This window comes from Homo sapiens, chromosome 5 (assembly GCF_000001405.40).
Source record: "Homo sapiens chromosome 5, GRCh38.p14 Primary Assembly".
Classification (NCBI taxonomy): domain Eukaryota; kingdom Metazoa; phylum Chordata; class Mammalia; order Primates; family Hominidae; genus Homo; species Homo sapiens.
In genome coordinates this window covers 160,280,796-160,298,018 of record NC_000005.10, presented here as the reverse complement: position 1 = coordinate 160,298,018, position 17,223 = coordinate 160,280,796, and the positions used below count along the sequence as shown (strand labels likewise).

The 17,223-nt window shown below is 46.1% G+C and overlaps 1 protein-coding gene across 9 annotated transcripts in view, besides 3 other annotated features; it reads left to right on the top strand.

The window, feature by feature from the left end:
- CCNJL (cyclin J like) overlaps positions 1 to 17,223 on the top strand; it is a 90,488-nt gene that overhangs the window by 41,552 nt on the left and 31,713 nt on the right. Inside the window, exon 1 of one of the 9 annotated variants that reach the window (XM_006714917.5) lies at positions 16,372 to 17,166. The exons of 7 other annotated variants lie outside the window; for them this stretch is intronic. In XM_006714917.5, coding sequence (XP_006714980.1) covers positions 17,110 to 17,166 — 57 coding nt within the window. In that variant the 5' untranslated portion in view covers positions 16,372 to 17,109. Of the gene's footprint in view, positions 1 to 16,371; positions 17,167 to 17,223 lie in introns of those variants that run through there. One more of the 9 variants, XM_047417702.1, reaches the window with a different exon arrangement.
- Positions 8,638 to 9,615: an enhancer, noted in NCBI's record as "H3K27ac-H3K4me1 hESC enhancer chr5:159715411-159716388 (GRCh37/hg19 assembly coordinates)". NCBI's record gives its function as "activates a minimal SCP1, AML or CMV promoter by ChIP-STARR-seq in naive H9 embryonic stem cells {active_cell/tissue: H9 hESC(naive)}" and the evidence as "EXISTENCE:reporter gene assay evidence [ECO:0000049][PMID:30033119]".
- Positions 11,130 to 11,863: an enhancer, noted in NCBI's record as "H3K27ac-H3K4me1 hESC enhancer chr5:159713163-159713896 (GRCh37/hg19 assembly coordinates)". NCBI's record gives its function as "activates a minimal SCP1, AML or CMV promoter by ChIP-STARR-seq in naive H9 embryonic stem cells {active_cell/tissue: H9 hESC(naive)}" and the evidence as "EXISTENCE:reporter gene assay evidence [ECO:0000049][PMID:30033119]".
- Positions 11,864 to 12,597: an enhancer, noted in NCBI's record as "H3K27ac-H3K4me1 hESC enhancer chr5:159712429-159713162 (GRCh37/hg19 assembly coordinates)". NCBI's record gives its function as "activates a minimal SCP1, AML or CMV promoter by ChIP-STARR-seq in naive H9 embryonic stem cells {active_cell/tissue: H9 hESC(naive)}" and the evidence as "EXISTENCE:reporter gene assay evidence [ECO:0000049][PMID:30033119]".

Here is a 17,223-nt window from a genome sequence, read left to right as displayed (position 1 = left end):
AATGCAGCCTCCAAGTTGGTGATGGTATAACATGGACTTCCCCTCAAGCAGAGCTGACACCCTGGGCAGCCACCAAGCTAGGTGAGAAGGCGGGGGTTGGTGGAGCAAAGCTGTTGACTTGGCGCTGGAATTTCTCTTCGGTCTCTCCTTTTGTGTTAACTTTTGGTTTTGAAATCATTTCAAACTTAGAGAAGAGTTGCAAGCATAATATGCAATTTTGTGAACATTTTAACACATTTGTCCTGTCATTCTTTTTCTCTATTTATATTTCTTTTCTTCAACCAAGTTGCAAAAATAATGCCCTATTATCCCTTAATACTTCAGGGTTTATTTCTCCGGTGTTTTGTTTTTTTTTTTTTTTTTTGTAAATAGAGACGAGATCTCACTGTGTTGCCAGGTTGGTCTCAAACTCTTAGGCTTAAGCGATCCTCCCACCTTGGCTTCTTAAAGTGTTGGGCTTACAGGCGTGAACCACTGCACCCAGCCATGGTTACTTTTAAGACGGGCTCTGAAGTGGTTTCTGCGGGAATTTTTGTCAGATCACTAGGGACATCTATCTTCCCAGGACCTCCCCAGAGCCATGTTTCAGGAAGAGGGGATTCAGCATTCTAGTTAGGAAGAAGCCAAGCAGTCACTGGTGGGCTTTGCTGGCTTCAACTGTGGGGAAGGCAGAGCTCTGGCTAATTTTCTGGGGCCATCTTCTTGGCTTGGTTGTCACACAGTGCCTGCGAAAGCAGCCTCTTTATCCAGTGGTCATTTAGTGAGCCTCATGTGTAATCTGCAAGACCTGTGGGAGGCTCTGCCAGGAGAAACCATGACCCAAAACCTGCCCTGAGGCCCTTAGCATAGCTGAAGATATAGTCATATCAAACCACTTATAGCCATATGTTAATGGCCATAATAGCCATTTAATGTTAGTAATGATAGTCCACTTTTAATGGGTGCTTACCATGTGCTGAGAGCTTGAGATCCCCTCCATTAGCTAAGTCCTCAGGCAACTCCTTCCAGTAGGTCCTATACTTATCCCCATTTTACAGATGGGACATGCAAAGTTTAGAGAGTTACATACCTTACCCAAGCCCACATAGCTAGTAGGCAACCTGGCTCCAAAGCTCACTCCTACCGCTATACCAAAGACAGGTCCAGTTGCCCAAGGAAGTCTTAAAAAGCTTCAAGGAGGAGGTGCTGTTTGATTTGGGTTTGAAGGATGAGTAGAAGTTTGCCAGGCAGAGACAGGTGTGAAGTTCATCTCTCTGCAGGGTCCAGGGCAGCTAGGGAGAGTCAAGCATTAGCGGCCTGCAAGGGGCAGCCTGGTCAGTTGTGGGGAGGACCAGGAGATGCACCAGGAACACTGGCTTAGAGGATGTGGGTCTTCCTAGATGTTTGAACCTTATCCTGAGAACCCATGGAGGGCAATGGGAAGGGTGGGGAGGAGAGTGCCAGCTCCCTGGAAATGCACCCTGGCCTCAGAGACTAGTTATTACAGTTATTGCAGTCGCCCCAAAGCGATGGCATCTGAACTAGGGGAGGAAGTGAGGATATTTGACAGGTTGTAGACAATAGGGTCAAAAGGACCAGCGAACAAAAAGCGTGGAAGATTTCAAGTTTCTTGCTAGTTGGAACAAAGTAACTTTCCTTAGCTGAGCTTGTTCAGCCTTTTTCATAGTAAACATTATTCTTGGAGGGCCCCTTCTGGAAACTGTCAGTTGAAGGACTCCCTCTGCCCTGTAAGTGAAGGGAATTGATGTTCATTGGGCACCTGCAGAGTGCTAGCAACTGTTAAGTGCCTTGTGTATGTTATCTGGCTTGATTATTAAAGTTGCTTCAGAAAGAAAAAGGATGAGTTAAATGTACTGACCAAGGCACTGGTGGTTCTTGAATATCTGCATGTTTATTCCTGCATTTAACACACTGTTTTTAGCAGCCAACTGCATGCTACACACTGTGCTAGCCACTGCCTACAGGATGAACAAAAATTGTGTACACAATTGGGGATGAACAAAAATTGTGTCATGGAGGTTATAGTTGAGCATCAGGCTCAAGCGGAGAACTTGTAAAGCATAGATAGGTGCCCAGCTCCATCCCCAGGAATTCTGATTCGGTGAGACAGGAAATAGAGGGTGTATTAGGTCCCTAGGGCTACTGTGACAACGTGCCACAAACTTGGGGCTTTATTCTCTCACAGTTGTGGAGACCAGAAGTCTGACATCGGGGTGTCAGCAGACCATGGTTCCCTCTGAAGGCTCTAGGGGAAGGTCCTTCCTTGCTCTTCTATCATTTGGCAGCAGCTGGCATTTTATCCGTGGTCTTCCTTGGCTTGTAGCTGCATCATTCCAGTTTCTGCCTCCATCTTCACAAGGCCTTCTCCTCCTTGTCTGTCCTCACCTCGTCTTCCCTCTGTGTCTCTGTCTCTGTTTACTCTTCCTATAAGAACACAAAACACTGATTAGCGCCTATCCTGATCTAATATGACCTCATTTTAACTTGATTGCATCTGTAAAGACTCTATTTTCTTATTTATTTATTTATTTGAGACAGAGTCTCGCTCTGTCGCCCAGGCTGGAGTGCAGTGGCGCGATCTCGGCTCACTACAACCTCCAGTGCCCGGGTTCAAGAGATCTCCTGCCTCAGCCTCCCGAGTAGCTGGGACTACGGGTGTGCACCACCATGCCCAGCTAATTTTTTGTATTTTTAGTAGAGACAGGGTTTCACCTGTTGGACAGGATGGTCTCGATCTCTTGACCTCGTGAACCGCCCTCCTTGGCCTCCCAAAGTGCTGGGATTACAGGTGTGAGCCACTGTGCCCGGCTGACTATTTTCAAATAAGGTCACATTCTGAGGTTTTGAGTAGACAAGAATTGTCAGGGAAATACTATTCATCCCAGTACGGGGGGGAACCCCCTTTTTAAATAGGTCCCCAGGGGATTTGAATGCGTGTGGTCAACTGGCAACCCATTTGAGAAACCTTTGGACTGTAGATGGGTAGGGAAGTAGAGTCGCAGCGAGGGGGTAGTGGTGCAGTCACCCTACTGTCCCATTTTGGGCTTCTCATTAGGGTCGAAGCTCCCAGGAGAATCCACAAAAGGAATCTGGAAATCGGGGGCAGGAGCTGGAGGTGTGGAGGGAAGAGCTTTGGAGCCACTCCACAGAGTGATCCAGGAGGAAAGCGGAGAGATCCAAGAATTGGACCTGTGACAGAGAACCAGCATGGAGGGGGACATCGGGACCTCTTCCCCTGGATAACAGAGGGCGTGGGAGGATGAGGGGCACCCCAGTCCTCCACTCCAGAAGGTATGGGGGATGCGGTCCTGTAGGAAGCTGGCAGAAGTAAAGAATTCAGTTGGAGGGTGTGGCGTCTTTTAAAAAGGCCATGAATGTTGTGTATGGGGGTGTTTGGAGGCCCCAGAGCCATGGGTTGGATGGGGGACCAGTGAGGGTTGTGCACGCATGTGTGTGGTCACTGTGGATGCCCTGGCAGCTGTGGCTGGGCCTGGTACAGAGTTTGCCCAGAAGGGCAGTGGCTCTGGCTTCCGGGAATGAGGAGGTGTGCTTGGAGCTGGCCTGCCTGCCATCTGCCCAGGAGTAGTACAGACGCCGGCTGCGGATGTGGTGCCTGGGTTACCTTTCACTCTGCTGGAAGGAAGCTACAGGCTGGACTTCAGCAGGAGGGGACGTTACGGGCATTGTTGGCCTTATGTGACACGGGCCACCCTCTCAAGAATGTTGAAATAGTGTTCCCACAGAGGTGTTGATGCTTTACGGAAAATGCTTCCTTGGGCCTTATGAAGCAATCGGGGCAGAGAGAGGAAGGAGGGTGAGCCTCCTGCCTTGCTGGGCCTCCCAGGTCGTGCTGTGTACTGAGGCCTCTGAAGAGCCAGCCTTTCTCCCCCTTTCTTTGCCACTTTACATTTGCAAGTCTCCACTTCCTGTTGGTCACCTTGGTTACACATGGTGTTTCTTCACCTCTCTGCGGTTCTTTGTTCTTAGACAAGACCCCTCTAGCTGTTGTCTCAACCCAGGGCGTGGATTCCCGGGCTCTTGTTGGCAGCAGTAGGGATAGGCATGGTAGGGAGATTGGAGGAGGAAAGCAGAGTGGTTTCTCTTGGTGGCTGGTGTTTGAGAGCAGCTCAGCCCTGCTTTACTGCACCTTGAGCTGTTTACGAAGTGGTTGTCGCCCTCCAAGTATTGTCATACCCCAAGCCCTGGCCCGCTCCTCTGATGTCCAAGCCCAAGATTTACCACTCACCTGCAGTGTGGCCTTGGCAGTTATACTTCTGTGCCTCAGTTTCCTGGCTACTAGGGCTAGTGCTGGTTCCACCTCGGAGGGTGGGTGTGGGGAGATAGCAAATGCACATAGCATTTACGTTCTAGTTGTAAGGGAGGAGATAGTCCCATGAGAGAGAGAGAAGTGGACATGCGTGCGCACAGAGAAACAGGACCGGACATGCGCATGCCGACATGTGTACATTCTCCGAGTATTTACGTGCTGATGGAATTGCTGGAGACTTTAGTTCTCTTTGTGCTCCTCTGTATTTTCTAAAATTCCTATAGTGATTAAGTATTTTATAATCAGTTAAATAAAACATTATTATTATTATCATTTTCTGAGATGGAGTCTCGCTCTGTCACCCAGGCTGGAATGCAGCCCACTGCAACCTCCACCTCCCGGGTTCAAGCAATTCTCTTATTTCAGCCTCCCAAGTAGCTGAGGCTGAGGTTACAGGCGTGCACCACCACGCCCAGCTAATCCTTTTGTATTTGTAGTAGAGACGGGGTTTCACCATGTTGGCCAGGCTGGTCTTGAACTCCTGACCTCAGGTAATCTGCCTGCCTCGGCCTCCCAAAGTGCTGGGATTACAGGTGTGAGCCACCATGCCCAGCCTAAAACATTATTTTGAAAGGAAAATACAAACAAACCTAAACTATCACATGGAGGGTTAGAACACAGTGTTTTGAGAACATAGTGTCTAGAAAACAGTAGAGTCAGAAGACCCAGGTTCAGATTCACCATTTATTAACTGGGTGATCTTAAGCAAGTTACTTAGTCTCTCTGAGCCATCCTTGTCTGTAATGTAGGGATGCTGGTAATCTCAGAACCCTTTTCTGTAAGAAGCATATTTTGAGATTGTGTGACACAGAATATGTATTGAGAAACATTGCCTTTGAAATGACTGCTAGGTGCATAGTTTATAATTTTTGAAGCTTCCAATCTTTGTGGGTCTGTTGGAGAATTAGAGTACAAGATGCATGGAATGCAGTGTCTGCCAAATTATAGAAAAAAATATTAAATTGTATATATACATACAGACTTTCAAGTTATATATATATATATAAAACTACTATATATATATACACACACATGTTACATATATATACACACACACATATACATACACGTTAGAGACAGGGTCTCACTGTCACCCAGGCTAGAGTGCAGTGGCATAATCGTAGGTCACTGCAGCCTCAAACTTCTGGGCTTAAATGATCCTTTCACCTCATCCTCCCAAGTAGTTAGGCCTACAGGTGCTCACCACCATGCCCGGCTAATTTTTTATCTTTTGTAGAGATGAGGTCTCCCTAAATTGCCCAGGCTGGTCTCAAACTCCTGGCCTCAAGTGATCCTCCCACCTCAATCTCCCAAAGTGCTGGAATTATAGGCATGAGCCACCATGCTTGGCCTCAAGTTAAATATTTTTAATGTATATCTATCTGTATGTATAGAGATATCTATATATCTCATAAGGCTCTATAAAACTATTCATCATAATGAGCAATTCCAAATACTCATGAAGACTTGCGGGAAGGTATGAGAAGCTGGAGGAGCTAAATTTCGGAGGAAAGAGAAGGCTGTGTCCTTCCTTGCCCTAGGATGGTGTGTGCCTCGGTCTACCAAGTAGCAACAGAGGGTTTCCACGGAGGAAGCAGTTTAGTGTTTTTGTTTTGTTTTGTTTTTTAAAGAGACGGGGTCTTACTGTGATGCCCAGGCTTGAATGCAGCGCGTATTCAGAGGTATGATCCCAATAGTGATCAGCATGGGGGTTTTGACCTGTTCCATTTCCAAGTCGGGCCAGTTCACCCCTCCTTAAACAACCTGGTGGTTCCCCACCCCTGGGAAATCACCATATTATATACATAATATATAAGAGATGGGCACCTGGACCTCCCAAGGCAGGACACCCAGCACTTGGCTGCCTGGGGCTTCTGTGAGCTGCCATGCGCTTTTTGTAAGCCTCTCCTAGGCTCCTGATGCCATGGCCATGTGGACGTTCTTACTAGGGCGTTTCTGCAGGTGAAAGCTGTGGTTCTTAATCTCGGCAAGCTTTTCAGTAAATCTCTAGGTTTAGAATCATTGAATTATTAGGCATCACGCCAGGGATTTTTGCAAGTCTCGCCTTGTGGATGCACTGCAGTTTCATTTTCGCTGGCATACCAGGTGCCCCGTAGCTGGCACCCTCAGGCACCTTTTCCCAGAGTCAGCTTTCTGGGATGTTACTCTGCCCCCAAAGAGGGAGGAGGGCAGGAGGAGTGTCCTGTGGATAAATTCAGCCTAGAGTTTTCCAAAGTTATATTATTTTTTTGACGAACAAATGTTTCAGGGCCTCTACTGGGCTAATATAGGCTTCCTTTAAGGAGCAATGTAGTATGCGATGTTTCGCCAAACTGTGGCCCACAGAACCCTTTTTTTCAGGGAGCATATCTTGGGACTAGTGTGCCACAGAACACACATTAGGAAACATTGCCTTTGAAAAATGACTGCTAGGTGCACAGTTTATAATTTTTGAAGCTTCCACTTCTCCATAAACACTGACCCGCTTCTTCCGTGGAAACCCACTGTTGCTCTTGGGTAGACTGAGGCACATGTCACCCCAGGGCAAGGACAGAGCTTTCTCTTTCTGCTGGAATCCAACTCCCTCACTTACTTTCTTTTCTTTCTTTCTTTCTCTCTCTCTTTCTTTCTTTTTTTTTTTTTTTTTTTTTTTTTAAGTAAAGACGGGGTGTTTCTATGTTGCCCAGGCTGGTCTCATCAAGCGATCCTCCTGTCTCAGCCTCCCAAAGTGTTGCAATTACTGGTGTGAGTCACTGCACCCAGCCCCTGCCCTGTTTCTTATGCCTCCTCGCTGGTCTTCATGAGTACTGGGAATTGCTTATTATGATAAATAGGTTTATACAACCTAAGATCAGGAACAAATAATGTTTTTTCTCACCTGTTTAAGTATTTGCCATTCCTGAAATATGGAGGTTTTTGTAATTATCAGGTGTTCCTTTTGCATCAGGTATTGGGGTCACAGAGCTGAACAAGACAAGCCCAGTCTGTGCCCTCATGGTGGTTACAGTCTAGCAGGCAGGAGGACAGTAAGAGCAAATGAATGAGTAGATAAAAAGTCCTAGGTGCTTGGGGGGGATCTCACAGAAGCATGAGCCTGAAACACCTTTTTCAGCAGTGACTTTTAGGCCAGGCATGGTAGCTCATGTCTGTAATCCCAGCACTTTGGGAGGCCGAGGCAGGCAGATCACTTGAAGTCAGGAGTTCGAGACCAGCCTGGCCAACATGGTGAAAACCCCGTCTCTACTAAAAATTACAAAAATTAGACGGGTGTGGTGGTGGGTGCCTGTAATTCCAGCTACTCGGGAGGCTGAGGCAGGAGAATCTCTTGAACCTAGAAGGCGGAGGTTGCAGTAAGCTGAGATCGTGCCACTGTACTCCACCCTGGGCAACAGAGCAACACTGTCTCAAAAAAAAAAATTAAATAAATAGAAAAAAAAGAAGTGACTTTTAAGCTGAGATCTGAAGGAAAAGTGGATTAATAATGAGAAGTAAAACCTCAAGGCAATTAGAAGAAAATAATGCAGTGCAGGACACTAAAAGTTAAACCGAGGACTTCACTTCCTCCCCTAATAGAAGAAACCAAGGGTGCCTGGCGGAACTTTCATAGTACAAGTCACCTTCTAACCCCTCCGAGGTTAGCCTCAAAATGCTTTCAAAGCCTGTGTGTGAAGAGCACATGCTGAATTTTTTCCTCCCCCTCCCCGGCTATGCAGCAGTGATAGGTATGGTTCTCTTGGGGGCAGTCTCTGCCCTGCACATCTGGCCGTGGGCCCAGGGTCTTGAGTGACTGCATTTCACCTGGCCTCACCTGCACTCCCGGGCACGTCTGAGCCCAGCACAGGTATGGGAAGTGTTTGTCACTCTGCCAAGGTCAGCACCTGGGGACGGGGGTTGGGAAAAGCAGCCAAGGACCAGACACATGCCTGGAATCTTCAGAGACCTGTCCAGGCAGCCCTGCTGCCTCTCTGTCTCTCCGTGTAGCTTAGGTTGGGGCTTTAGGTGGGCTGTGATTCATGAGTCCTTGGCCTTTTCCGGGGCACTTTCCCTCTCAGGTAATCCTCTTTCTGCTTGAGAACCCCCAGGCAAAACTCTTGGGCAGCAAGGAGAGTGGTTTCTAAAGGGGCAGCCACCTCTCCTTCCCCCAGAATGGCTCCTCTGGTCTCAGAAATGCTGGCTCACACGTCACAGTGGGGTTTCCCACTTGGGGAGCAGTGACCTCTGCCATGGGTTACCCTAAGGAAGGAAGCCAGGGTAGATAAGGGAGTCCCGAGAGGAAGGGAGGGCATAGAGGGCCACAGGCAGAGGGAAGATTCCTCAAAACACTCTCCATGTATTCAGACGTCCATTCACTGAGCCAGCAGCTACTCATTAGTACTTACTCTGTGCCAGGGACCAAGGGTATGGCCAAGGGCAGGAGAGAAAAGCAGCTCCGTCCCTCATGGAAACCCCCTTCTGTGGGGGGCAGGGGACAGTTCCTAAACATGCTTCAATGTGCAGTGGCTGCTGGCGGTGGGAAGCCCACAGGAGGCTGCTGGGTAGGAGGGAGGTCAGGGATGGCCTCTGAGGAATGGTCTGAACAGGGACCTGAAGGAAGAGAAACAGCCCACATGCCCAAAATCTGGGTTTGATGACGTCATGGCACAACCTTACGGTGGAAAACTAGGCAGCCATTGCAGACATTGTTTCCCATGCTCTCTGAGGGGCAAGTGGGAAGCAGTTGTAGATCGCTATGGCATTTTATGAGAGTTTGCACAAAGAAATATCTGAAGAATCCAGGTAGAACCTAGTAGTACTTCTGTCTGAATCCTTCTAAGTGAGGGAATATGAGTGATGTTATTCTTTTTTTTTTTTTTTTTTTTTTTAGACAGAGTCTCGCTCTGTCGCCCAGGCTGGAGTGCAGTGGCACGATGTCCATTCACTGCAAGCTCCGCCCCCCCGGGTTCATGCCATTCTCCTGCCTCAGCCTCTAATTTTTTTGTATTTTTAGTAGAGACAGGATTTCACCATGTTCGCCAGGATGGTCTCGATCTCCTGACCTCGTGATCCGCCCGCCTCAGCCTCCCAAAGTGCTGGGATTACAGGCGTGAGCCACCACACCTGGCTGGTTATTCTTTTTAAGATTCATCAGTGAACATATAATTTATAATTAGTAAAAAGAAAAAGAAAGGAAAAGAAAAAAATGGAAAATTCCTTCTGGAAGGGGCTTTGCATTGTAGGAAGATGAAGTGGGATACTTACTGGGCATGGGGTGTTATTATGACAGGGCAGATTTTGTTAAAGGGATGATGTGGGGTTGCTAGGAAATCCTCAGGGATAAATTTTGAGCTGGGCCTTGTAACACAGTGGGTATCTAGTCTTTTTGTTTGTTTCCAAACTGAAAACATAGTAACTGAAGTAATAAAGTGGTTATGCATTGAGCATTTTTGAAAAATTCAGGCTGTTGAAAAGCATGATCGTGAAAATGCAAGATCTCAGTGCCCATCCCGACCTCTCCTCCGTAGCCACTGTTAATATTTTGATGTATCTTTTCTAAGTTTTTTCTAGCCCGTAGCTATTATGTTAAAAAATAATAATAATAATAAAGGACTGTGATGACAAAAGCAGGGGTTTTTGTAAGGTGGATTTCTTTTTCCCGGAACTCCACCATGGCCATCTGTCCATGCCTCCACCTGTTCATCTCTAGATACTCCTGCGGCAGATGGGCTTCCCTGAGTCAGGTGATCAAGGGCCAACAGCTGGGGAGGGAGAGTGATCAGGAAGCCTCTGCCCTTCCCTCCCCTCCCACCTCAGCCCCCTTCTTCTACAGCCTCCCCCTAGCCTTTCTGCTGCCCACACTCTCACCGCCTGTGGCCCTGCCAGGCATGCTGAGGGGAAGGTCACCCTGCCTGGCCAGGTTCCTGCCCGCCCAGCGCCTGCCTGATTGCTGAATGCCTGCCAAGCTCCTGCCTAATCTGGGGAGAGCTTTAGAAGCCGCCCTAGGGCAGGCTGCTCTTTTGTTTCTGGAATCCAGGCCACTCAGCAGAGGGGCTGGCTTCCTGCACTGCGCTGCTGCGGCCTTCAAGTGGACTTAGGTCAAGAGTGCCTGGGGAGGAATGCAGTCCCTTAGAGCAAAGCCCTTGTAATGAATGCCTTCCCTGCACCCCCTAATTGGGTTAGCGAAGTGATCAGCTAGATTCTCAAACTAAACAGGATAGGCATGCTGCAGTCCTACATTGTTATTTCCATGACAAAGAATCTCCCTTTTCCCAGTGAGGGGAACAAGCTGAGGCTCAGAGCTGCTAATTCTACTTGGTTTGAGGGCTCTGCAGAGGACACACTGACAGAGGCACCTCAGCTCAAAGGTAGAAAGCCTCATTGCACATTTCTCAAAGCAGGTTTCTTTGAAAGCCCAAAGAGCCTTTGACAGAGATAGATCAATTCAACTTCTCTGAGACTTGATTCCCCAGCTTGAGGGAAGAGGAAGGGCCACTAGGCTTGCTGAGCTGCTGTTAACACCAAATACTCTACATTTACGGCAGCGTGACCCCCATTTCTCAGATAGGGACACTGAGGGTCAGTTCACATGCCCAAGGTTGGTAAATAGTGGAACTAAGATTCCGACCCAGAACTGCCTGACCTCACACTCTGTAGGTATCAAGCTAATCCCCGGTATGTGGGGGCGGGAGGTGAGGTGGTTGGTACAGGGAGTGACTCTGTATTTATTCTTTCTTATTCGATACATATTTATTGAATGTCTGCATCTGTGCCAGCTACATAAATAAGTAAATTTTCGGCCACAAAGAGAAGACTACCAAGAGAATAAGGGGAACCTGATTTGGAATGATGGAGAGGTCAGAGAAGTCTTAGGAAGTGACATTTAAGTCAGTATTTGAGGGACAAACAGAAACAGGGAGAAAGAGCATCCCAGGGAGCCAGTGTTCTAGCTTCAAAATCCTGCCCTCTTGAGACCAGCCCCTTCCAGCACGCTGTACCTACTAACCCCTACTTGCCATATATTGCTATGCATTCCAGTGGTCCATAACTTTTCCTTTTTTCTTTTCTTTGCTTTTTTTTTGAGACAGAGTCTCACTCTGTCACCCAGGCTGGAGTGCAGTGGTACAATATTGGCTCACTGCAACCTCTGCTTCCCGGGTTCAAGTGATTCTCGTGCCTCAGCCTCCCGTGTAACTGGGACCACAGGTGTGCACCACCATGCCTAGCTAATTTTTGTATTTTTAGTAGAGACGGGGTTTTGCCATGACGACCAGGCTGGTCTTGAACTCCTGGCCTCAAGCGATCCGCCCACCTTGGCCTCCCACAGTGCTTGGATTACATGAGCCACTGCACCTGGTCCATAACTTTTTCTTTTATGCACCAATGTCTTTCTTTGAGAATCTGCTCAAGGCAAAGGACGCTTCTCCCAGGAACACGTACAGGAAAGACGTTCTTTGTGTTGCCTTGAGTTCTCTTCTCTCACTTGGCTCAAGGGAAAATCTAGAAGGCTTTGAGCTTGGCCAGTTGAGTGGGGAGGGAGGTCAAGACGTTGCCTATCTGACTTGTGTTTGGGGGCTTTGGACTGCACTGATGAAGGCAGCGTGGCCCGGCCAAAGGTCACTTGGCTAAGTCTAATTTCCGGCAGCTGCAGCCCACCAGACACCAAGGATCTATGACTGTGGCTGCTGCTTGTCATGACCCTAAACTTAGAGCCCTGTGCTTAGAGGAAATACCCACGTAGTCTGCAAGCTTGTAGGGGCTGCTGGAAGGTAGGAGCACTGTTGAGAGGAGCTGCCGCCCCGCACTGGCTGCTGCTACCAGCTGTCTGGCCTTACCCTAGGAAGAAGCTGGCCAAAAGATCTCTATGCAAGGCTGCTCAGACCAGGCCAATGATCTGCTCTAATCCCTTCAGTTTCTATTGCCCTCAGAGTAGGGCAAGGCAGTTTTCTCAACAGGGCATGCAAGCTGGGCCCCTGCCCACGTTTCCAGCCTGTGTCTAGGCACACCCTGCCTGGCTGGCTGTTCCCCAGATGGGACACTTGTGTGGCTTTGCAGGTGCTGTTTCTCCTAGTGAGAGATCCTTACCTTTCCTGCATCTTCAACAGGTAAATTGTACAACTTGGCTCAATCTGTCTTCTTTGAAGTTCCCATGGACTTGCTACTCTGTAGAGTTGGTCACGACTTCCCTCTGTTGGCCACGACTTCCCTCTGTTGGCCAGGACCTTCTGTATCCACCACTGCAATTCTTTCCTTGCTTTCTTTACTGCCTCTCCCTCCCTCCCCACCCCTTCTGTCTTTCAGCAATTAGTTATTGGGCACCTAACCCTGTTCTCTTCACACTGGGGTGCTGAAGTAACAGTGATGTGCAAAGGAGACCCAGATCTGCCCTCAAGGAGTTTGAACTCCATGGTGGCTGCATAAATTCATCAAACCATGAAGATGAAGAATACACAAGCACATCAGGTCTTTTCCTTAAAGAAGTTAAGCTGGGGCTAAAAGAGCTCCATGACTGATTGATTGATTGATTTTGAGATGGAGTCTCACTCTGTCACCCAAGCTAGAGTGCAGTGGTGCGATCTCAGCTCACTGCAACCTCCACCTACCAGGTTCAAGTGATTCTCCTCCCTCAGCCTTCTGGGTAGCTGGGATTACAGAAGCGTGCCACCATGCCCAGCTAATTCTTGAACTGAGGTCTTGAACTCCTGACCTCAAGTGATCCACCCCCGTCGACCTCCCAAAGTGCTGAGATTACGGGTGTGAGCCACCGTGCCCAGCCGAGCTCCATGACTTAAAAAAAATAAAAATAAAAAAGTTTTCTGGTAAGCCCAAGCAATTAAAAAAAAAAGTTGAAAAAAGGGATACTTTGAAAGTCTTCTAATTAAGATCTTTTGCTAGTTAGATAAAGCCCAGGGACTCAGGGACTTTTTGAAACTCAATTTCTTCATATATAAACATAAGGGAGAAGAAGTAATTTATTCAGGCTTTGAGAGCCTTCCATGAGCAAAGCTCTAGGACTGCGAAAAATAGCTGAGTCCTGGTCTCTGAGCTCTCTGGAGGATCAGGCCAGAGGAGAAGTAATCAGTGTGAAATCTCAACTCAAGCCTCACTTTCAGGAGGCAGGCCTCCCTCCCCTCAGAGACAATGGGGCCTCCCAGAGCATCTGTGGCTTTCTTTTGCAGTATTAGTTCATCACAGTTTGGAATTCTGCAACTGTCTTATTGCTGGATTGCCACCTCTCTCCCTTGTTGGACTGTGGACTCCATGACTGTGGGTGATAACGTCTGTCTTGTTTTTTTATAGCAGCTTTATTGAGATATAACAATTCACATATCATAAAATTCACTTTTATTTTATTTTAATTTTTTTTGAGACAGGGTCTGGCTCTGTCGTCCAGGCTAGAGTGCAGTGACACAATCTCGGGTCACTGCAGCCTCCTCCTCCTGTGCTCAAGTGATCCTTGCACCTCAGCCTCCTAAGTAACTGGGACTACAGGCACTCACCACCACAACAGGCTAATTTTTTCATCTTTTGTGGAAATGGGGTTTTGCCATGTTGCCCAGGCTAGTCTCAAACTCCTAAACTCAAGCGATCCACCCGCCTCAGCCTCCCAAAGTGCTGGGATTACAGGTGTGAGCCACTGCACCTAGCCAAAATTTAGCTTTTTTAACGTGCAGTCAAGCAACCTAAATGTCCATCAACAGATAAATGGATAAAGAACATGTGCTACATATACACAGTGGAGTACTATTCAGCCGTAAAAAAGAGTGAGATCCTGTCATTTGCAACATGGATGGAACTGGAGATCATTGTATTAAGTGAAATAAACCAGGCACAGAAAGACAAACTTCACATGTTCTCACTTATTTGTGGAATCTAAAAATCAAAGCAATTGAACTCATGGACATAGAGAGTAGAAGGATGGTTACCAAAGGCTGGGAAGGGTAGTGGGGGTTGTGGGGGAGGTGGGGATGGTTAATGGGTACAAAAAATATATAAAGAATGAATAAGACATACTATTGTATTGCACAACGGGGTGAATATAATCAATATCTTAATTGTACATTTCAAAATAACTAAGAGTGTGATTAGATTGTTTGTAACACAAAGGATAAATGCTTGCGGGGATGGATACCCCATTCTCCACGATGTGATTATTTCACATTGCATACCTGTATCAAAACGTCTCCTGTACCACACAAATCTATATACCTACTATGTACCCACAAAATTAAAAGTAAAAAAATTAAAATATGCAGTTTAGTTGTTTGTGTATTCACAGAGCTATACAATCATCACCACTATCTAATGACAGAACAGCTTTATAACTCCAAAAAGAAACCCCATACCCATTAGCAGTTATTTCCCATTAACTGTTACCCCTAACCTCTGGCAACCACTAATCTACTTTCTGTTTGTATGGATTTGCCTATTCTGGACATTTCATATAAATGGAATTATATAATATGTGGCCATTTACGACTAGCTTTTTTCACTTAACATAATGTTTTCAAGATTCACCCCTGCTGTAACATGTGTAATATTCTGTTGTATGGATACATTACATTTTGTTTATCCATTCATCAGTTGATAAGTGTTTGAGTTGTTTCTACTTGGGAACTGTTATGAATGATGCTGCTGTGAGTATTCATATACAAGTTTTTGTGTGGCCATATGTTTTCATTTCTCTTAGGTATATATATATATATATGTATATATATATATATATATATATATATATATATATATATATATTCCAAGGACTGGAATGGCTGGGTCACTTAAGAACCCTACGTTTAACATTTTAAGGAGTTTCCAGACTGTTTCCCACAGTGGCTGCACCATTTTACTTACCCACCAGCAGTATATGAGGGTTCCAGTTTGCCCCTATCCAGCACTTGTATATACATTTTCAGTTTTGTATTGATTTTTTTTACAACAACCATTCTAATGAGTGTGAGGTGGTATCTTATCAGGGTTTTAATTTGCATTTCCCTAATGATTAGTAATGTTGGGCACCTTTTCATGTGTTTGTTGGTCATTTTTATACTTTCTTTGGAGAACTGTCTGGTCAGTTCATTGCCTATTTTTAAATTGGGTTGTTTGCCTTTTTATTGTTGAGCTGTAAGAGTTCTTTGTATGTTCTGGATACAGTCTTTTATTAACATGTGATTTTCAAATATTTTCCTCCATTTTGCAGGTTGTCTTTTTTCTTTCTGGATGGTATCTTTGGAAGCATAAATGTTTTAAGTTTTGAAATTCAACTTATGTATTTTTCCCTTGATGCTTCTTGTTTTAGTGTCATATCTAAGAAACCATTGCCTAATCTAAGGCCATTAAAGATTTCCCCCTGTTTTCTTCTAAGAGTTTTATAGTTGTAAGTCTTAACGTTTATGTCTATGTCTATCTTATTCCAGATTGCATCCCCAGTGCCTAGAATAACACCCAGTGTAGAGAAGGTACTTCATACTTACTGAGTAAAATGAATGAATAGCTCTTGAATGAATGAATGAATGAATGAGCAGATATCCCTTTCTAGTCCTGGATCTGCTGCTAGTTAAGTAAGCCCCAGGGTTAAGAGAGAGGTTTTCTATAGAAGAGGGGCACCAATTTGTTTCGATCTCATCCCGTTGTGAGCCTGCCATAAGTGAGCTTTCACATTCCTTTTCTGCCAACTTATTTCCTGTTTTCCTTCAATTTTACTTCTTTTTAGTTTCCTTCTTTGGCAAAATGTTGCAAAGACATTTCCTAAACAAGTAGTGTCTAGGCTGGGCTTGATGGCTCAGGCCTGTAATCCCAGCGCTTTAGGAGGCCAAGGTGGGAAGGATCGCTTGAGGTCAGGAGTTTGAGACCATCCCAGGCAACACAATGAGACCCCTGTCTCTACAAAAAATACAAAAACAATTAGCTGGGTGCAGTGATGAATGCCTGTAGTCCTAGCTACTTGGGAGGCCAAGGTGGGAGGATTGCTTGAGCCCAGAAGTTCAAGGCTTCTGTGAGCTGTGATTGCACCACTGCTCTCCAGCCTGGGTAAGAGGGGGAGACTCCTCTCTTAAACAAACAAACAAACAAACAAACAAATAGTGTCTAATCTTCTTTGATTGAACGGTAAATATGAGAGATACTGCATATAAGAACATTATTATGTTGTAAAAAACTTTGTTGGTTTGATATCTTTTATTGGTTTTTCTTGAGTTAGACAAATAAAATAAGGTAATGTGGCAGTATATATATTGCAAAGTAGAAGTAAAAGTCATCTAGTCACCTCCCAGGGGTGTGGGAAGTATCATGATATCTGAACTTACTTTTAGAAAAAAAATGTATATGCATGTAGAGAAAAAGAAGGCAGATGTCAAAAATTAGGGAATTGAGGTGAAGGGTATTTGGGAGTTCCTTGTACTATTATTTCAACAACTTTTTTAGGTTGATTTTTTTCAAAAACCCGTCTCTCGTAATCCTACCCTCAGAAAGAATTAGATGTGGATCCTGAGAGGTCACAGGTGTGCTAGGCATTTTGCATACATTTTAAATTTAGTTCTCAGCTCTCGAGGAGGAAACAAAGGTGATGGCAGGTGACCAGGGTCACACAACTTGGCTGAGTAGTGGAACCAGAATTTGGATGTGTTACTTCAGACCAGACCCTAGGGGAAAAAAAAAGAATTTGGACTTAGACCTCTGACCCCAATGCCTTTATTCCTTTATGGCCTTGTGTATCTCAAATAGCAAACCTTTCCCATGGGAAGGAATGACTGGCTTCCTCTGTCATCCTCTAGGTCCTTGATACTTTATGAGCCTGTGCTTAGTGAAAGCAGATGGGAGATAGCCCAGGCGGGGCTGCCATCCTGGGACTTGCAGGAAAACTAAGAAGGGTATGGAGGGAATCGTTGCCTCCCATTCAGGCCCTGAGGTCCCATTTCCTGGGACAG